The 22,343-nt window shown below is 38.4% G+C and overlaps 1 protein-coding gene and 1 pseudogene across 4 annotated transcripts in view; both read right to left on the bottom strand.

Annotated features, from left to right (window-relative positions):
- Positions 1 to 380: 380 nt before the first annotated feature.
- LOC101927375 (ankyrin repeat domain-containing protein 26-like) overlaps positions 381 to 22,343 on the bottom strand; it is a 30,147-nt gene continuing 8,184 nt past the window's right edge. The window contains exons 4-11 of one of the 4 annotated variants that reach the window (XM_011535334.3): positions 13,271 to 13,364; positions 9,214 to 9,242; positions 9,047 to 9,119; positions 7,287 to 7,544; positions 4,627 to 4,684; positions 3,995 to 4,243; positions 2,218 to 2,317; positions 381 to 949 (exon numbers count right to left, since the gene is read on the bottom strand). In XM_011535334.3, coding sequence (XP_011533636.1) covers positions 7,384 to 7,544; positions 9,047 to 9,119; positions 9,214 to 9,242; positions 13,271 to 13,364 — 357 coding nt within the window. In that variant the 3' untranslated portion in view covers positions 381 to 949; positions 2,218 to 2,317; positions 3,995 to 4,243; positions 4,627 to 4,684; positions 7,287 to 7,383. Of the gene's footprint in view, positions 950 to 2,217; positions 2,318 to 3,994; positions 4,244 to 4,626; positions 4,745 to 7,286; positions 7,545 to 8,983; positions 9,120 to 9,213; positions 9,243 to 10,236; positions 12,347 to 13,270; positions 13,365 to 22,343 lie in introns of those variants that run through there. The other 3 variants (XM_011535335.3, XM_047430817.1, XM_011535336.3) reach the window with 3 other exon arrangements.
- Positions 799 to 4,684, bottom strand: PSPC1P2 (paraspeckle component 1 pseudogene 2; annotated as a pseudogene).

Here is a 22,343-nt window from a genome sequence, read left to right as displayed (position 1 = left end):
AGGAGAATAGCGTGAACCCGGGAAGCGGAGCTTGCAGTGAGCCGAGAGTGCGCCACTGCACTCCAGCCTGGGCAACAGAGAGAGACTCCGTCTCAAAAAAAATAAATAAATAAAAATAATAATAATAAAAAATAAAAACATTTACTGACACTTTGGGAGGCTGAGGAAGGTGGATCATGAGGTCAGGAGTTCAAGACCAGTCTGGCCAAATGATGAAACCCCGTCTCTACTAAAAATACAAAAAAGTTAGCCGGGCGTGGTAGTGGGCGCCTGTAATCCCAGCTACTCAGGAGGCTGAGGCAGAGAATTGCTTGAACCCGGGAGGCGGAGGTTGCAGTGAGCTGAGATCGTGCCACTGCACTCCAGCCTGGGTGACAGAGCGAGACTCTCTCAAAAAAAAAAAAAAAATTTACTGAAAACTCTGTGTTCATACATATTGGACTTTTGTCCCCATCAAACATAAGGAGTCCACACAGGAAAAGAACACCATCATAAAATTCTTGAACATTAGAATGCTGGTAAACGATGGATACAAATTAAAAGCACAGAAAAATAATGTAATTAGCATATGTATTTGCTAAATACTGAGGTACCACAGCATGCCACAGACAGTAATCCTAATTCTTGGACTACTTAAAAACTATCTCTAGTAAATCAACATATGATGTCACAAAATTTTCTTCTTCATTGGCTGCCAAAACAAATGATACCAAATTATATTAAGTGTGAAGTTATCCTTGATGCAGAAGTGTACATTACTGAATATAATCAAAATAATGTTTATGATACATTACCACTGCTCCATTATCTGGCATCATTGGAGTTCCCATATTTGCGGCTCCTTCTGGTCCCATGGCAGGACCAGGACCCACTGGTGGGCCAGGTATAGTTGCTCTGTTGTTCATATTCATACCCGTCATTGGAGGAGGACCTTGGTTACCAGCAGGGGCTGTGTTAAACACATCTATGTAAAACAATCTATACTTAGAGCTGTCCTATCTTAGTTTAGTAAACATTTAAAATTTAACAATATTTATGCAATCTATATACCAAGACCGTTATTAAAATTATTTTTGTTCCTTGAGAATGTGATATGCATTATCTAATCTGTAATAGGGCATTACCTACACTCGAATTAGAATTTTCATCCCCAAGCCAAATGTACATAAAATCAATGAGGAAACTATCAATTATTTTAGGGCATTTAAGACTGTAACAGTTTGCAAGCTGAGACATCACTATTATTTGTTATAGTTGGCTTTTACACCAAATAATACCTAACAATGGGGACTACATTTTACCAGTTTAAATGAGTAACAAAGGATTAGCACTTACAAAACCACTTAATTTTTTTAAGCTGTGGCTAAAAATATTAGCATGTAAATTATGCTAAGTTGCCAGAGAGGAAATAATTTCCTGCAATATATACATAAAGATGATTATAACTAGCCTCTCATGTTAGTTTTTTTTTCCTCCTTGAGTTTATGGAATACCTTGCTAAATTACAGGAGGTACTCTCTTTTAACTTTTTATATTGAAATATGGAATGTAAACAAAAAAATTGAAATGACTTATAACAAAACTTATTTTTAAAAGCAACCGCAACCAAATGCAGATAAAATATATAGCTATCTGGATCTTTCTGACAAGCTTAAATTCCATAAATGGGGACAATCTGATATATTTCAAGTTTTTCATTAAAAAAATCCACCTACCTCCTATTAATTTTAATAGTGTCTGTGCTCTAATACTACATATATGATGATCTCAAATACAACACATTTTTAGGTATTTTCTTTGAAAATTTTTTTCCCTTTTAAGTGGTAGCACTTGTTTATCATTAAAAATTCGTAACAAAGCCATTCTAATTTAGGGTTTTCTTCTAGTATTTCATTACATAGATCAATTTTCTGACAATAAGAACTCAATTTCTCAAAGATACATTATAATGCAGCTGAAATTATACATTATACTCTCTACATGGCTGAGTCCCTACCAGCCCCTGCATCATACTTCTGCTCTTCAAATCCAATCCCCAGGAACCTAGCAACTTCGTGGGAAGGAATTGTTTCCTTCACCCCAAATGCTCTTGCCAATAAATATACTTTATCCAAGAATATTTTCACTCCCTCAGTATAGCCCTAAATAGCTATTTTAATAATTTCTACAATCTAGAAATGAAGAGAGTACAAGAACAATATCTAAGAAGGGTCTTACCTCAACTATCCCCCAAAAAACAAATTAAGTTTCTTTTTCTTCTTTTTCTCTTTAATAGAATGTAATTTTACAATGGTGGGTTTGGAAAATAACTATACATCTGTGGGTATAAAAAAATCAAAAATAATATTTCCAACTAACAGCAGTTAACTTAGAGCCTTACTTTTAGTACTCATATCTTTCACCACATAGCTATAAATAAATTTAAGGATCTAAGAAATGTTAGCATTATCTGGTTACTAGAAAGGTAGCATTATAATGTAGGTTTCACTTGGTTATACACACTAGTGATACACCAGAAAATCTGCTGCCACTTTCCATCAATGTAACTTGATTAGTTATGACAGTTTTAACTTCCCAACAACCCAACTGCATGATAATGATTAATAGCTCTACAAAACCATTATGATGAAGTCTCACATTGAATGAAGACTGAAGAGAAAATTAGATAAACTGGACTTTAGGAGAGTAAGTGCTAAAATGTAAATAGGTCCTCTGGTGAATAAAATGTCACAAAAAATTTTTAATTCTCCTCAATTCCTAACTAAATAAGGACTCTAAAGGCATATTCTTATATTTCTTCTCATAAAATTGCAGAGTATCTCTATACCATCAGAAACGGTTTTAAGTTTTATACTATTTTAAAGTTTAGTTTTGATGTTAATGTCACTCTAATAATGATAATGGCCTTTTAAACTGCCTATAATCTACAATAACCTTATTCCTAAAATCCTTAAAATTACATGGATTATATTAAATACCATCCCAAAATTTACTCTAAAAAAGACATAAATATTGGACCACTTGGACATCATTATACTCAATTATGCTTCATAGTTTGGAATGTAGACACTCTTGGTTCATTAATTATTTCACGTATCCACTGTAGTAATTTCACAATTAAGTTCTTTATGGGCAAGGGCCATGTTTCTTGCTTCCTGCATATACCAGAAGTATTCACTAACTACTTGTTGGTAAAAAGTGATCAAGTAAACAGCAATATATGACTCTACATCATCTGATTAGTAGTACTGAAAAACTGGCAACAGAAGTTTAAGAAAAAAAGCTGATCATGGAAAATGTTCATTCCACACATGACTTCTTTTAAGTTTCATTTGATAGACTATACATGCTAAGAACATACTTGATTTTGTAAATGGGTGTGCATGTTAAGAATATTGTTTGCCATGGTAGTGTAATCTTTAAAACAATATGTACATTTAAGTTATATAAAGATTTTTAGCTTCATAACACCTTTTGTAGGACAATTTAATGTGGGACAGCTTTTGTGGGACAATTAATTTAATAAAATTTAATTCCGTATCCAACTTTCAAATGTATGACATTTCAAATTTCAAATTTAGTAAGGCCTACGATATGCCACACTTGTTTTTCCTTCAGGTTACTTACTTGGCATTATTTCCCTTGCAACTTGGCTATATGAGCAAATCCAAACTGAAGTTGCTAATATACTTTCTTAAAAGCTTAGTCAACTCTAAAACATGCATTGGCAACACACATGTAATTCCCTTGACGAGTCATAGTCTACAAAGACTGAGTGCACTTCTGTGCACAATACTGTAGGTTAAAGGAAAAAAGTTCAATATTCATTAAAGTGAAGGAAAACAGCTTCAAAGTTACACAAAAAGCTAGTTTAAGACAGAAAAGTATAAAATGCTCTCTAAAAGCCTAAAAACACAACTCAGAAACTATCAATTTCCAACTCGGAAACTATCAATTTCCAATGTTCAATTAGGACAGGCAAGGTGGCTCACACCTGTAATATCAGCACTTTGGGAAGCTAACGCCAGCAAACTGCTTGAGCCCAGGAGCTCAAGACCAGCCTGGGCAACATGGTGAAATCCTGTCTCTACTAAAAATACAAAAAATAAGCCAGGTATGGTGGCGCGTGCCTGTAGTCCCAGCTACTTGGTAAGATGGAAGGATCTCTTGAGCCCTGGAAGTCGAGGTTTCAGGGAGCAGAGACTGCGCCACTGTACTCCAGCATGCACAACAGAGTGAGGTCCTGCCAAAAAAAAAAAAAAAAAAGCCAATTAGAAGGCATAAATTTGATTTTAAAACTGCAAAAACAGAGCTGTATTACACCATGCAATGACTACACTCCTTTCAGGCTGTATTACAACCTGGTTTATATGTTTCTTTCATTAAGCTTATGAATGTATAACACATCTTTTAGCCTTCAAACAAAAACAAAATGAGAATTTTCTTCCCAGGCATATTTTTTAATATAATTGTATTGCATTCCAGTTTAATGGATGTAAGAGATTTCACCTTTAGAAATGTTGGTCCCGTATTTTAGTTTCTTACTGATATATAGATACCACAAACAGCATAAACAGTCCCCCCAAAAATGATAAATTACAAAAGCCTTTTGCTTCAAATCCCTACCTCCTATGTTTATTGCTTCATGGGGACCCACATCACCCATTCTCATTTCCTGTTCTCTCTGTAAGTAAATATAGTTGTCACAGTCAACCTATTGATCTTATGACTTTACATTTCCCATCTAAAATCAAAAAGAAAAGAGTGAATTGGGACATCATTTTCCATTAAAAATTTTGAAAAATTTCCATCACCATATACTTAATAGGAACGCTGAAAAGAAACTTCAGTCTCCCAGGCTTAATATACTACAAGTGCTTAATGCACCCAGTTTATATTGCAAGATTAGATTACCAATGAATCAGATTATATAAAATATACCACAGATTATTTTTAATGCTTTTATTCCAATAGATGAAAGACACAAGCCTAGATTCAAGCAAAGGAAAATCTAGTAATAATAACCACTGGGCCCAATTATTTTCTCCTCCCAGGTCACTGAAGTCTTAAAATAGAAATGACAGTTACCAAGTTCATATTGAAATGCATTCAAACATATAACACAAATAGCTTTAGGGAATTATGCTAAAAATAAGGTTATAGGCAATCTTCATTGTCTAAATATTATAATTCATTCATGTATTTTTATTCATCTACTCAAGCATTATTTCATCCAGGGACTACAGATAGCCCATACAAGCAATTACTGAAAGCTGGACATAACATTGCTTTCTTTAACTGCACAGTAATTGTATTTGAAAACCTCAATAAAAGTATTGCACAGTTAACTATAAAACAGAAATATTCAAAACATCTGAAATTTCATTACAGAAACTGCTTCCTAAAAACTCTTAATTTACCAACAATAGTGACGAAGAATTAACTTCAATGAAATCTCTAAGTGAAATTACTCAAGATAACGTATGAAAATTGCAATTTTCCCTTTGGTTTGATGACCATTTCCAATCACAGAAAACTGTGTAATTAGTAATAGTGAATTTAAATGTTCTACATTATTTTAGCATTTTCTTTTTTTGAGACATAGAACCTAAATAGCATGTGGTGATTCCTAGACAATCCTTAAAGCTTCTTTTGAGATAAACATGAGAGGTCTTTATCAATAAAGAATTTTGACTGTGACCTAAAAAAGAATATTGATTGTGGCCATTAAGATTGCATTCACTCAAACTCCAGTGTGGGTGACACAGTGAGAGCCTGTCTTAAAAAAATTTTCAGCCGGGTGAGGTGGCTCAAGCCGCTAAATTTTGTATTTTTAGTAGAGATGGGGTTTCACCATGTTAACCAGGCTGATCTTGAACTCCTGACCTCAGGTGATCTGCCTGCCTCAGCATCCCAAAATGCTGGGATTACAGGCGTGAGCCACCGCGCTCGGTCCAGTAGTGCCATTCTTAACAACACATTATGCCTATAATCAATGATTTCCAGAATTACTGTAACTGTTTATACTTTACCAGTGTACATCCTGTTCTCGATATCAGAAATGTTTTCCTCTACTATTCTAACCATTTCTTTTTCATCACTCACATTGCTGTGTGAAGTATTCCTTGATTCTTGCTATCTTTCCTCAGAAAAACAGGCATCTCTTTCCTTGGGGCTGCCTTAGCACTGCATTGATTTTCCTAGTGTATATTTACCACCTGAAATGTACATTCTTTCTATGCATGTCTATCCCTTTTGTCCTAAACTGTATGGGACAATCTTTCAAATCATCTTTTCTTTTGTGTCATTTTTTTTGAGACAAGGTCTTGCTCAGTAGCCCAGGCTGGAGCACAGTGGTGCGATCTCAGCTAACTACAATCTCTGCCTCCCAGACTCTAGAGATTCTCCCACCTCAGCCTCTGAGTATCTGGGACCACAGGCAGCTGCCATGCTCGGCTAATTTTGTATTTTTTCAAGAGACTGGGTTTTGCCGTGTAAAAAAGGAAATGAAACTATTGGGGTGCAAAAATATTTTATGATTTATTACTATATAGATCTGATCGTATACCTTATTAAAGACAATGAATTTAACTGGGACATAAAGTAGAACACATATTAGATGCAATTATTCAACAGATTATGTGTCCTAGTAAAATTAAAATGTATTTTCATGTTATTTTTAATGACACCACCTTCCTTCAAACTAGTATTCCTAGTAAATTGTTATTCATGAAAACAAGGTGATAAACTGTGTGAACACAGCTGAAAAGACACCATCTAGCAAATTCTCAAGGATACCCATTCATACTGGGAAAGACAATTCTATACTACATAAAGTCACAGAAGTTATTAAAAATAACTTAATTTTGGGGTTTGGAAGGTGCTTTAGGGGCAACATTTTATATAGTTACAACTGATACAAATTCAGAGCTATGGAAATAAAGCAAAGAAACCACATTGTGTTTGAGCAGGCAATCAAACATCTCCCCCCCAGTCCCAAAGTTCTGCATGTAATCCTTGGACTCACATTCAAGTTTATGTTAAATGCTAGCCTAAACAAAATTACTCGTCCATCTCATTCTCTTTCTTATTTTTATGTTGCTTTGGTTAAAGGAAGAACATAAATGCCCTGCTGATAGGTCCTCTGTTTGGTTGTAGCTTGTATAAGGGGGGTGTAAACACAATACACACTTTGCCACAAAATGATTCTTTAAAAGTTACAACTATGGTATTATGAAGCCAAGTACAGCTACACTGGGACTGAATTCTCTATGCTTCTTTATTACCTTCTTTGCTGTCTTTGTTTTCTGGTAGCTGTGACTCACACAGGTCACGGAGAGTGTGATTCCAAAATAGAAATGCAGCTGCAGTGGTCATCTTTTCTTAATCTATTAAGTTCATCTTCCCCAAGTCTGTGGATCCCAACACAGTGTTGGTCATTGGTGGAGACACAAATGGACATAGATCACCAACTTTCAAATTCTCAGATCTTTCATGAAGCTCATTACTGAAGGTCAAACTATTAAAATCCAAAGCTGAAAAAGCTGAAAGTAAAGTTTTCATTATTAGAATGTAAATCATAATACAATTTGACTAACGTGGAGAAATTCCTTCTAAAACAGAAGCAGTCCCATGTCCTCCACTCCCCCAGAAACACACCACTCCTGCATGGCTTATTGTATTCTACATGTCCTGTACTTGCCATTCACTCACATAGGTTTTATTAACGATCATCTTTGACATTTTTATTTTTTAGTGTTACTTATTTGATTCACTCAGCAATATTATATATTTTGTTTTCCATGAGAGCTTTGTTTATTAATAATATTCTTCAGTAATATGAACTTTCTTTTAATAACAAGACTTATGTTTAACCATGAGACACGTGATGTGTCATAAGATCATGGGTGCTTAATGGGCCAGAGTTATAATGGCTATTGGAATGCATGGTGGTGCATGCTTATATTTTAAATTATTCAGCTTCAGTTTCTGATATAGTAAATATCAATAGATACAATCCACTTAAACAAAAGCTCTTTGGGATATGCCATCATTTTTTAATGTTTTTATCTTTTTCTCACCACAAAACAGAGTTGAATTAAATGTGGTACTGTCATAGCATGAAATACTATAGGAAATGTAAACTCAACTAGAACTACTTCTGAAAATAGCAATGCATCTCTTTGGACAAATCAATGGGTGTGAACAAAACATATCGACTGATCTCAAAACTATAACGCTGAGTAAGCAAAAGAAAGCTGCTGAATAATATATTTATAATGTACAATCAGTTATATGATTGAAATTTTAGGACAGAAACACCAATTCTACATATGATTTATGGCCATACACATATATGGTAAAATGTATGAAAAGTGCATGACAATGACAAACACCTAATTCAGGGTGTTGGTTACTTCTATGCAATAATTATTAATTGCACAAAAAACCCTAAGCCTATAAAGTTTCAGAATCACTCTTTGAAATGAGTGTGTCTGCCAAATAGCCATGAAAAAAAGATTACTTTCCTCATTTTTGTACTCCAAGATATTCCCTGCACACACACACACACACACACACACACACACACTAATCAAAACATCCAATTTGCTTCAGATAATCAGTCTAACACTAGGATGAAGTAATTAAACTTTATACAAAATTGACATGTTAGCAAGGAAAGCTTTCCTCTAGGTAAAGATCAGAATTCCAACAAGCATTTCAAACACGGGAAAAAATTGTAGTCTCATAATTCACTTCTGTGAAACCCGAATGAGTATAGGTATTCCCAACTGAGAACTTCAGCGTAGCAATACGTAATACAAGATACATCTAAGTTAGAGCTTACATTTTTAAAATCTATCTTATGCTTCTAAATATAATGTTTTTCAAACATAGATACCAATGCTAATATCTGCATTATATATATCAAATCTATCCCTCAAATTTGAAAAAAAAAAAGACAGGAATACGAAGACTGCTAGCATTTAAACTATTTTTAATGTGCTTCTTTCCAGAGTTAAATTTGTATTGCAAAAATTTTTACCTGATGTGCATGCTTGTACATCTTTCATTCCGACTGCCTGGTTCGAAACACACTCTTTCATTTCAACCTTAGGCTGAAAGGGTTTTAAGACAAAATGATTAATAAGTAATATATATTTCATATACTATGTGGTTAATAATTAAAGATAAATATAGAAAAGTTATTACCTTCAAGTGATGATATTGCTGAAGAGAATCTGGAAGGCAAAAGGGACATATAATCAATTATATATAAATATGATAAATCTAACCATACACTCAGAGTTAGTATCAAGCTGAATCTTAGTGCTTCGTTTTAAAAATAATGAGTTTAGATTTAGGGGTGCATTTTTTTGTCAGGACAACAACATGACAGAAATATCCTGAAGAAAACTAAGAAGATAGGTTGAATAAAACATGCAGTTAACATTTCAAAGGCAAGATTCTGATTCGAATATCTGTAACTGAGAGAAAAGTATGCACGCAACCATGTGTACATGCTGAGGAGGAGAAAAATGATCTTTAACCAGAGGAGCAAATCATGACCCTGGGCAGATAAATGTCAAAGCTGATGGTAGAATGCTATAGTGTGTCTTTAATGTGACACATCAGAATCATTTATACCATTCTACTACAAGTACCTACTATGTCCTTCAATTGGTCCTAGAATGTAGGAAGCACACAGTTGTCATGACAGTTCATTTGAATGTTTAATTCATTTCTCATCAGAGAAAGTGTTCGGATCCACACTTTCACAAGTGTGAATTGCTTTGGATCCACACTTACACAAAATAGTTCATAAAAATCTTCATTTTTTTCATACCTACTTGAGCTTACTGATAGGCCTACATTTCTTATATCCCGTAGTTTAGCCATCTTAAATTTTTTGATCCACTCATGCAAGAAGGTATATAAAACATGTCTAAAAATAATGTCTAAGAAGCTTTCAACATTGAAATATTAATAAAAAATGCATTGCTACACAATTATTAGTTACTACTGAGCTTTTATATACCAAAATGGGTGTAATATTTATGTAAAGTAATGCCTTTTGTATTTGAGGAATAAACTTTGTAATTTTTTTTGTTTCCAAACTTAGTTTGGGTTGGCATATCATGTCATCCATGATAAACTTTTACAAAACAGGCATCCTATTTAAAAAACCGGCTACCTTAAAGAAAAAGCAGCCAAAGCTCCTACATTTAACTTTACCTCAGTTGATTAACTCATATTGAGAGGTGACAGCGTGCTGGCAGTCGTCACAGCCCTCGCTTGCTCTCGGCGCCTCCTCTGCCTGGGTTCCCACTTTGGCGGCACTTGAGGAGCCCTTCGGCCCGCCGCTGCACTGTGGGAGCCCCCTTCTGGGCTGGCCAAGGCCAGAGCCGGCTCCCTCAGCTTGCAGGGAGGTGTGGAGGGAGATGCGCTAGCAGGAACCGGGGCTGCGCGCGGCGCTTGTGGGCCAGCTGGAGTTCTGGGTGGGCGTGGGCTTGGCGGGCCCCGCACTCAGAGCGGCGGGCGGGCCCTACCGGCCCCAGGCAGTGAGGGGCTTAGCACCTGGGCCAGCGGCTGTGGAGGGTGTACTGGGTCCCCCAGCAGTGCCAGCCCACTGGCGCTGCGCTCGATTTCTCGCAGGGCCTTAGCTGCCTTCCCACGGGGCAGGCCTCTGGACTGCAGCCCGCCCTGCCTGGGCCTTCCCCCGCCTCCATGGGTTCCTGTGCAGCCCGAGCCTCTCCGACGAATGCTGCCCCCTGCTCCACGGCGCCCAGTCCCATCCACCGCCCAAGGGCTGAGGAGTGCCAGCGCATGGCGCGGGACTGGCAGGCAGCTCCACCTGCAGCCCTGGTGCAGGATCCACTGGGTGAAGCCAGTTGGGCTCTTGAGTCTGGTGGGGACATGGAGAGTCTTTATATCCAGCTAAGGGATTGTAAACACACCAATCAGCACTCTGTGTCTAGCTCAGGGTTTGTGAGTGCACCAATCGACACTCTGTATCTAGCTACTCTGGTGGGGCCTTGGAGAATCTTTACGTCTAGCTCAGGGATTGTAAATACACCAGTCGGCACTCTGTATCTAGCTCAAGGTTTGTAAACACACCAATCAGCACCCTGTGTTTAGCTCAAGGTTTGTGAATGCACCAATCGACACTCTGTATCTAGCTGCTCTGGTGGGGCCTTGGAGAACCTGTGTGTTGAAACTCTCTATCTAACTAATCTGATGGGGAGGTGGAGAACCTTTGTATCTAGCTCAGGGATTGTAAAAGCACCAATCAGCGCCCTGTCAAAACAGGCCACTCAGCTCTACCAATCAGCAGGATGTGGGTGGGGCCAGATAAGAGAATAAAAGCAGGCTGCCCCAGCCAGCAGTGGCAATCCGCTCGGGTCCCCTTCCACACTGTGGAGGCTTTGTTCTTTCACTCTCTGCAATAAATCTTGCTACTGCTCACTCTTTGGGTCCACACTGTTTTTATGAGCTGTAACACTCACCACGAAGACCTGCAGCTTCACTCCTGAAACCAGTGAGACCACAAGCCCACCGAGAGGAACGAACAACTCCAGATGTGCTGCCTTAAGAGCTGTAACACTCACCGCGAAGGTCTGCAGCTTCACTCCTGAGCCAGCGAGACCACGAACCCACCAGAAGGAAGAAACTCCGAACACATCCGAACATCAGAAGGAACAAACTCCAGACATGCCACCTTAAGAGCTGTAGCACTCACCGCGAGGGTCCGTGGCTTCATTCTTGAAGTCAGTGAGACCAAGAACCCACCAATTCCGGACACAATATCAACAAAACATGCATCTTTGATGTCTGATAGTTACAGAGAGAAGAAATTAGTTCCTGTGGTTTACCCCCATTCTAGCACTCCCTCCTTCCAGTAATTCCTGGAACAGCAATCACCTAATCTTCTGTTTGAGTGCCAATATATTGCAGTCACTAGAAGTGACAGCTCTCAAGTTTCCCTATTATCAACTCCAAAATTAACTAGCCAACTTCTTTCTTTCCTCCCTCCTCCTCCACTCACAATCCCTCTTCCTTTGCAAAAGTAGTCTCTAGATCTGTTGTCCTGATTCTGACCTTTCTGCCGCCTTTTGATGGACTATTCCCATGACTTCTCTTCTCTTCATTTAGCAGTAGTATCTTCCAATGATGATTTCTGTTTCTTCATCTCTTTCTCCTTCCCCTCTGGCCAGAGACACGCTCAGAAATAAAGGGAAAATCATGCTTTCCCTTGATCCTGTTATGTCTTGAGTGGTGATCCAAGGGCTCTTCTTCGAGATTTCTCTGAAGGCACAGCTATACCCTTGCTACTGAGAGTGTGGTCCTAGGACAAGAAGGGTCGGCATCACCTGAGATCTTATTAGAAATACAGAATCGCAGACTTGTGGAATCAGAATCTGCACTTCCAACAAGGTCCTCAGCTGATTTGTTAAAATTTGGGAAGCTCTGGTCTATACTGAGTGTGCTCCCACATTAGTTAACCTCAACCTGCCCTTTTGGAATCCAGCCTCAAGCTCCACCCTATCACGTCCTCCAAATCTAAGCTGCATTACAAGTCGTAAAGTTACTAATGAACTTTTTATCAGGCTATAGCTTCCTTGATCTTTCCATAATTAATCCTACCCTCTTCTTTCCAATGCTCTTCTTTTGGCCCCTAAGATACTGTCCCATGAAGTAACAAGATTTTATAGCACATTAAATTATAGACATGTAATTTATGCACGGCTGACCATACATTACATTCCTCTATCGCAGATGAAACATAGCTCTGTGTGGTCAGGTACCTCCATCCTTAATGCATTCCCAAAAGTAAGGAAAACAGCAAGAGTGGCAACATTTTGCTTGAATTCTCTGACAAGTTTCGGTACTGGAAGCTCACTTTATATTCTCCTCAAATAATTATCTTACTCTATCGCCCTTCATTGCATATATCTTTTTCCCTCATTTACTCCCTGTACTCTCCGCCTTTTCACTCTTCATTCCTTCATTTACTCTTTTCTTCTTCCTTATTTTCTGACTTTCCTCAGGTCTTACAGTATCTTGAATTGGAACTAATGATTCAGCTCCTTTAGTGGCACTCTCAATTAAATTGGTTGCTAATGCCTTACAAAATATACAACATATCACTATTTCACTTCTCTTTTTTTGACTATGCACTTAATACCTTATTTTCCTTGGCTACTAGAACATAACAGAGCTCATGTTTTTAAACATTCTGTCAAATTTTTAAATAAAATACAGTTCTTACCTTCTTGTTCCTTTATTGTAATTTTTCCTCTTTGACCATCATCAGCTCCAGTTAAGTGACTATCATATTTCTGTGGAACATTCTCAAAGGTAGTCTGTTGAAATTATAATGAATAATGAGTTTCAGTGAAAAAACAATGAATTTCTCAATATTTCCTAAACATGTTCTGAATTTCCTGATTTAAAAGCAATGAGACCTAGAAGTAAGGAAAGCATGTATTGAAAACCAAAATATTTCAACAGAGAAACTCATATATGTTCTCCAGATCAAGCAAATATTTTATCTCCATATGGCTATTGACTCTGTAAACTGAACATAGAAAGCCAAAGGAAACATAGTCACAGATACAATATTAGCTCTTCTGTATATGTCAGCAAGGAACTAACTTCAAACACCTAACTCAACTTTGCGTTCACTACCAACAATAACAGGGCATTAAAAAAAACACACACAATTGGTATAATACTTACAACATTCATATTTAAAATATTTCTAATTACATAAATGATCTTAGTGTTAAAATAAGATACTCGGCATGATAGGTAACTTCAGGGTATGTTACGTTGAGTGTAAGCAGAACATTGTCAAAGCTGCTTTATTTAGGTGAGGAAGGGCTTGGAAAACTCAAAATATTTTTGGTAAAATTTTTACTGACAGGAAAAATGGCAAAATAGTAAGAAGCCTTTTCTTTATGCCTTGTTTAAATAAAAGCAAGCAAATATTAGATATAGTATGCCATTCTTTCCCAATTAAGAAATAACTTCAAGAAAGTATAGCAAGAGTTAGTAAAAAGGGAAGGAGAGGAACATTTATTATGAAGCATCTAAACAGTCCCAGGCCCTTATTTACACATTCTCTTTTCTACACATTCTAATAATACATATGAGGACGAGGATGCTTACCGTACTTCCTGCTTTTTGGATGTTGAGAACAAAATGAAAAACAGATGTGACCCATTGTTCTCTCTGTCCAGAATATCCTCCTTCTAGACTTTCACATGGCTCGCTGCTTCTTGTCCTCTAGTTGGTAGCTTAAATGTCACACTCAGAAAGATCTTCTCTGAGAACACAGTTCTACTCCCATTCCGGCCCCCATCCTAACTACGCACTTCTTCAATGTGCCCTAACCTAACATTCTCTGTTTTCTTTATAGGAAGCATTTATAGTGACTTAGAAGTGTTTGTTCTTTACTTGATTTTCTGCTCTTACTACTCTATCATAAGCCTCATCTTGTACATTCAGTGTCTCACTGCCTAGCACACAGTCAGGAGTCAAGAACAGAAATTCTTCCAAGGTCAAAAACACTTACAATCTCATCAGAAAGGTCTCAAGTGCCAAATCACTAGATTCCCTTAGGATATTCCCAGTCATAGTCTGCTGAAACTTAACATAAACCAAAGTAGAAATCGACATGCCTGTTCTAAATTTCTATTTTTTTTTTTCGACACTACTGCCATTTCATTGTTCAGGTTTACAAAAAGAATCTTCAATATTTACTAAATCGCTGAATCCCACCGTGATCATTTTGTCCTACACTTGTATACACACTTCACAGTTTACAAAAGGATTTCACATTTCTTCCCAAATTTTTTCATTAGACATACTTAGGAGATAATATTTATGAATGTCATTCTTATGATATTAACTACAGTAAGGTACATGGAGAAGTACAGATCTATATGGAGACTTTTGGTCATAGGATAGCCCTAAAAATACTGATTAGAATTTACAATTTTTTTGTAAGTATTTCTGTAATAAAGACTTCAATTTTCTTTCTACAAAATAAGACATTCATTCAGGTAAACATGGTCATCTACCACTATGTGAAAGCTGGAACATTATTACTACAGAGAGATAAAAGAGAAAAGAAATGTTTCATCAATATTCCACCAGGAGAAATCATAGGAAATCAAAATTATAAAGAGTAACATACAACCTGAAAAGATATATTTAAAAGAGCATAGGTTGGGGCTAAAAGAAAGCTTAAGAAATTTTCATCTAAAATCCAAATCTGAGCTTACAGTTAGAGGATATTAGAAAATATACTGTAATCTGCTTTCCTACTGATGACATATTTCTAATTTATTTCCTTCTTATTTATAACATATTTGCATAATTCATGTGAACTTATATCCTAAACATTAATTTAAGCCCCATTTTGGAAATGCGATAGATCTTATTATTAGATATCTTGTGCATGTTATACTACCTATAACATTCTATTATATAGAAATTTACTTGTCTGCTCATTTCTTCATGTTCAAAAATGATTAAAACACTTCTTACATGCAAGACCTTAGGTACATTAGGATACACAAGAATATGTTTCGTAACATTCAGTAGCTCACAGTGGTGCAGGATCTTTAAAATGATTATGTAAACAATGAAATACAAAAACTTCTGAAATTTGATACTTTAAACTATGATACAAAGATGCTCTGTGAATATTTTTTATAATACAGGGCAAAAAGTGTTTGAAATTAAAGTCTTACCACATGGTTATTAACAGTCTCTGCTTCTGGAGCTGGTTGTTACTTGAGGAAAAACGTGTATGCTCAATTAGATGAAGAGTTTTAAATATATTCTTCATAGAATGGCTTAGGAAACACATGGGAATCTCTTTGTAATACAGATTTTGAGACAGAAATTTTAAATTTCTGAATTTCCATGTTAAAAGAAAAACTAGGGGGGTGGAGCCTGTGGGCGGCAAGCCACCCAGGTGCTGAGGCAAAAGACCAAGGACACGAGCTGTTCCAGTATAATAAAATATAAAACAAGAATAGTTATACCAGATATAGATCTTAGATATGATTATATATGAATATCATTAATCATTAGTTGGTAGCAATTACTCTTTATTCCAATATTATAATAATCCTTGCTCCATAATCATAACCTAGGAAAAGCCAGGCCATACAGAGATAGGAGCTGAGGAGACATAGTGAGAAGTGACCAGAAGACAAGAGTGCGAGCCTTCTGTTATGCCCAGACAGGGCCACCAGAGGGCTCCTTGGTCTAGCGGTGATGCCAGCGTCTGGGAAGACGCCTGTTGCCAAGCGGACCGTGGTCTAGCGGTAGCATTAGTGTCAAGCAAAAACACCCGCTACTTAGCAGACCGGGAAAGGGAGTCTCCCTTTCCCCGGGGGAGTTTACAGAAGACTCTACTCCTCCACCTCTTGTGGAGGGCCTAACATTAGTCAGGCCCACCCGCAGTTATCTGGAGGCCTGACCGTCTCCCTGTGATGCTGTGCTTCAGTGGTCACACTCCTAGTCTGCCTTCATGTTCTATCTTGTACACCTGGCTCTGCCATTTAGTTAGCAGTAGCAAATTAGTGAAAGTACTAAAAATCTCTGATAAGCAGAAATAATAATGTAAGCTGTTTCTCTCTTTCTCCTTTCTCTCTCTGCCTTGGCTGCCAGGCAGGGAAGGGCCCCTGTCCAGTGGACACATGACCCATGTGGCCTTACCTATCATTGGAGATGGCTCACATTCCTTACCCTGCCCCTTTGTCTTGTATCCAATAAATATCAGTGTAGCCTGGCATTCGGGGCCACTACCGGTCTCTGCGTCTTGGTGTTAGTGGTCCCCTGGGCCCAGCTGTCTTTTCTTTTATCTCTTTGTCTTGTGTCTTTATTTCTACACTCTCTCATCTCCACACATGGGGAGAAACCCACCGACCCTGTGGGGCTGGACCCTACAGAGCCAAGATGGCCAAATAGGAACAGCTCCAGTCTATAGCTCTCAGCATGAGTGATGCAGAAGATGGGTGATTTCCGCATTTCCAACTGAGGTACCAGGTTCATCTTACTGGGGAGTGTTGGAAAGTGGGTGCAGGACAGTGGGTGCAGCACACCGAGTGTGAGCCGAAGCAGGGCAAGGCATTGCCTCACCCGGGAAGCACACGAGGTCAGGGAATTCCCTTTCCTAGTCGAAGAAAAGAGTAACAGACGGCACCTGGAAAATCGTGTCACTCCCACCCTAATACTGCACTTTTCCAACAGTCTTAGCAAACAGCACACCAGGAGATTATATCCTGCACCTGGCTCGGAGGGTCCTATGCCCACGGAGCCTCGTTCACTGCTAGCACAGCAGTCTGAGATCAAACTGCAAGGTGGCAGCAAGGCTGGGGGAGAGGCACCCACCATTGCCGAGGCTTGAGTAGGTAAACAAAGCAGCCAGGAAGCTCGAACTGGGTGGAACCCACTGCAGCTCAGGGAGGCCTGCCTGCCTGCCTGCCTCTGTAGACTCCACCCCTGGGGGCAGGGCATAGCCAAACAAAAGGCAGCAGAATCCTCTGCAGACTTAAATGTCCCTTTCTGACAGCTTTGAAGAGAGTAGTGGTTCTCCCAGCATGCAGCTGGAGATCTGAGAAAGGACAGACTGCCTCCTCAAGTGGGTCCCTGACCCCCAAGTAGCCTAACTGGGAGGCACCCCCTAGTAGGGGCAGACTGACACCTCACACGGCCGGGTACTCCTCTGAGACAAAACTTCCAGAGGAATGATCAGGCAGTAACATTTGCTGTTCACCAATATCTGCTGTTCTGCAGCCTCTGCTGCTGATACTCAGGCAAACAAGGTCTGGAATGGACCTCCAGCAAACTTCAACAGACCTGCAGCTGAGGGTCCTGACTCAGAAGGAAAACTAAAAAACAGAAAGGACATCCACACCAAAACCCCATCTGTACGTCACCATCATCAAAGACCAAAGGTAGATAAAACCACAAAGATGAGGAAAAAACAGAGCAGAAAAACTGGAAACTCTAAAAATCAGAGTGCCTCTCCGCCTCCAAAGGAATGCAGCTCCTCACCAGCAATGGAACAAAGCTGGATGGAGAATGACTTTGACGAGTTGAGAGAAGAAGGCTTCAGACGATCAAACTACTCCAAGCTAAAGGAGGAAGTTCGAATCCATGGCAAATAAGGTAAAAACCTTGAAAAAAAATTAGACAAATGGCTAACTAGAATAACCAATGCAGAGAAGTCCTTAAAGGACCTGATGGAGCTGAAAACCAAGACATGAGAACTACGTGACGAATGCACAAGCCTCAGCAGCTGATTCGATCAACTGGAAGAAAGGGTATCAGTGATGGAAGATCAAATGAATGAAATGAAGCAAGAAGAGAAGTTTAGAGAAAAAAGAATAAAAAGAAACGAACAAAGCCTTCATGAAATATGGGACTATGTGAAAAGACCAAACCTACATCTGATTGGTGTACCTGAAAGTGACGGGGAGAATGAAACCAAGTTGGAAAACACTCTGCAGGATATTATCCAGGAGAACTTCCCCAATCTTGCAAGGCAGGCCAAAATTCAAATTCAGGAAATATAGAGAACGCCACAAAGATGCTCCTTGAGAAGAGCAACTCCAAGACACATAATTGTCAGATTCACCAAAGTTGAAATGAAGGAAAAAATGTTAAGGGCAGTCAGAGAGAAAGGTCGGGTTACCCACAAAGGGAAGCCCATCAGACTAACAGCTGATCCCTAGGCAGAAACTCTACAAGCCAGAAGAGAGTGGGGGCCAATATTCAACATTCTTAAAGAAAAGAATTTTCAACCCAGAATTTCATATCCAGCCAAACTAAGCTTCACAAGTGAAGGAGAAATAAAATACTTTACAGACAAGCAAATACTGACAGATTTTGTCACCACCAGGCCTGCCCTAAAAGAGCTCCTCAAGGAAGCACTAAACATGGAAAGGAACAACCGGTATCAGCCACTGCAAAAACACGCCAAATTGTAAAGACCATCGAGGCTAGGAAGAAACTGCATCAACTAATGAGCAAAATAACCAGCTAACATCATAACAACAGGATCAAATTCACACATAACAATATTAACCTTTAATGTAAATGGGCTAAATGCTCCAATTAAAAAACACAGACTGGCAAATTGGATAAAGAGTCAAGACCCATCAGTGTGCTGTATTCAGAAAACCCATCTCACATGCAGAGACACACATAGGCTCAAAATAAAGGGATGGAGGAAGATCTACCAAGCAAATGGAAAACAAAAAAAGGGAGGGGTTGCCATCCTAGTATCTGATAAAACAGACTTTAAACCAACAAAGATCAAAAGAGACAAAGAAGGCCATTACATAATGGTAAAGGGATCAATTCAACAAGAAGAGCTAACTGTCCTAAATATATATGCACCCAATACAGGAGCACCCAGATTCATAAAGCAAGTCCTTAAAGACCTATAAAGAGACTTAGATTCCCACACAATAATAATGGGAGACTTTAACACCCCACTGTCAACATTAGACAGATCAATGAGACAGAAAGTTAACAAGGATATCCAGGAATTGAACTCAGCTCTGCACCAAGCGGACCTAATAGACATCTGACATCTACAGAACTCTCCACCCCAAATCAACAGAATATACATTCTTCTCAGCACCACACTGCACTTATTCCAAAATTGACCACAGAGTTCGAAGTAATGCACTCCTCAGAAATTATAACGAACTGTCTCTCAGACCACAGTGCAATCAAACTAGAACTCAGGATTAAGAAACTCACTCAAAACTGCTCAATTACATGGAAACTGAACAACCTGCTCCTGAATGACTACTGGGCACGTAATGAAATGAACGCAGAAATAAAGATGTTCTTTAAAACCAAAGAGAACAAAGACACAACATACCAGAATCTCTGGGACACATTCAAAGCAGTGTGTAGAGGGAAATTTATAGCACTAAATGCCCATAAGAGAAAGCAGGAAAGATCTAAAATTGACACCCTAACATCACAATTAAAAGAACTAGAGAAGCAAGAGCAAACACATTCAAATGCTAGCAGAAGGCAAGAAATAACTAAGATCAGAGCAAAACTGAAGGAAATAGAGACACAAAAAACCCTTCAAAAAATCAATAAATCCAGGAGCTGGTTTTTTGAAACGATCAACAAAATAGATAGACCGCTAGCAAGACTAATAAAGAAGAAAAGAGAGAAGAATCAAATAGACGCAATAAAAAATGATAAAGGGGATATCACCACCGATCCCACAGAAATACAAACTACCATCAGAGAATGCTATAAACACCTCTGCTCAAACAAACTAGAAAATCTAGAAGAAATGGATAAATTCGACACATACACCCTCCCAAGGCTAAACCAGGAAGAAGTTGAATCTCTGAATAGACCAATAGCAGGCTCTGAAATTGAGGCAATAATTAATAGCTTACCAACCAAAAAAAGTCCAGGACCAGATGGATTCACAGCCAAATTCTACCAGAGGTACAAGGAGGAGCTGGTACCATTCCTTCTGAAACTATTCCAATCAATAGAAAAAGAAGGAATCCTCCCTAACTCATTTTATGAGGCCAGCATCATCCTGATACCAAAGCCTGGCAGAGACACAACAAAAAAAGAGAATTTTAGACCAATATCCCTGACGAACATCAATGCAAAAATCCTCAGTAAAATACTGGCAAACCGAATCCAGCAGCACATCAAAAATCTTATCCACCATGATCAAGTGGGCTTCATCCCTGGGATGCAAGGCTGGTTCAACGTACCCAAATCAATAAACGTAATCCAGCATATAAACAGAACCAATGACAAAAACCATATGGTTATCTCAATTGATGCAGAAAAGGCCTTTGACAAAATTCAACAACACTTCATGCTAAAAACTCTCAATAAATTAGGTATTGATGGGACATATCTCAAAATAATAAGAGCTATCTATGACAAACCCACAGCCAATATCATACTGAATGGGCAAAAACTGGAAGCATTCCCTTTGAAAACTGGCACAAGACAGGGATGCCCTCTTTCACCACTCCTATTCAACTTAGTGTTGGAAGTTCTGGCCAGGGCAATCAGGCAGGAGAAGGAAATAAAGGGTATTCGATTAGGAAAAGAGGAAGTCAAATTGTCACTGTTTGCATATGACATGATTGTGTATCTAGAAAACCCCATTGTCTCAGCCCAAAATCTCCTTAAGCTGATAGGCAACCTCAGCAAAGTCTCAGGATACAAAACCAATGTGCAAAATCACAAGCATTCTTATACACCAATAACAGACAAACAGAGAGCCAAATCATGAATGAACTCCCATTCACAATTGCTTCAAAGAGAATAAAATACCTAGGAATCCAACTTACAAGGGATGTGAAGGACCTCCTCCAGGAGAACTACAAACCACTGCTCAATGAAATAAAAGAAGATACAAACAAATGGAAGAATGTTCCATGCTCATGGGTAGGAAGAATCAATATCGTGAAAATGGCTATACTGCCAAGGTAATTTGTAGATTCAATGCCATCCCCATCAAGCTACCAATGACTTTCTTCACAGAATTGGAAAAAACTACTTTAAAGTTCATATGGAACCAAAAAAGAGCCCGCATTGCCAAGTCAATCCTAAGCCAAAAGAACAAAGCTGGAGGCATCACACTACCTGACTTCAAACTATACTACAAGGCTGTAGTAACCAAAACAGCATGGTACTGGTACCAAAACAGAGATATAGACCAATGGAACAGAACAGAGCCCTCAGAAATAATGCCACATATCTACAACCATCTGATCTTTGACAAACCTGACAGAAACAAGAAATGGGGAAAGGATTCCCTATTTAATAAATGGTGCTGGGAAAACTGGCTAGCCATATGTAGAAAGCTGAAACTGGATCCCTTCCTTACACCTTATACAAAAATTAATTCAAGATGGATTAAAGACTTAAATATTAGACCTAAAACCATAAAAACCCTAGAAGAAGACCTAGGCAATACCATTCAGGACATAGGCATGGGCAAGGACTTCATGTCTAAAACACCAAAAGCAATGGCAACAAAAGCCAAATTTGACAAATGGAATCTAATTAAACTAAAGAGCTTCTGCACAGCAAAAGAAACTACCATCAGAGTGAACAGGCAACCTACAGAATGGGAGAAAATTTTTGCATCTACTCATCTGACAAAGGGCTAATATCCAGAATCTACAATGAACTCAAACAAATTTACAAGAAAAAAAACAACCCCATCAAAAAGTGGGTGAAGGATATGAACAGACACTTCTCAAAAGAAGACATTTATGCAGCCAAAAGACACATGAAAAAATGCT

This window comes from Homo sapiens, chromosome 13 (genome assembly GCF_000001405.40).
Source record: "Homo sapiens chromosome 13, GRCh38.p14 Primary Assembly".
Classification (NCBI taxonomy): domain Eukaryota; kingdom Metazoa; phylum Chordata; class Mammalia; order Primates; family Hominidae; genus Homo; species Homo sapiens.
This window is presented reverse-complemented; position numbering and strand designations above follow the sequence as displayed.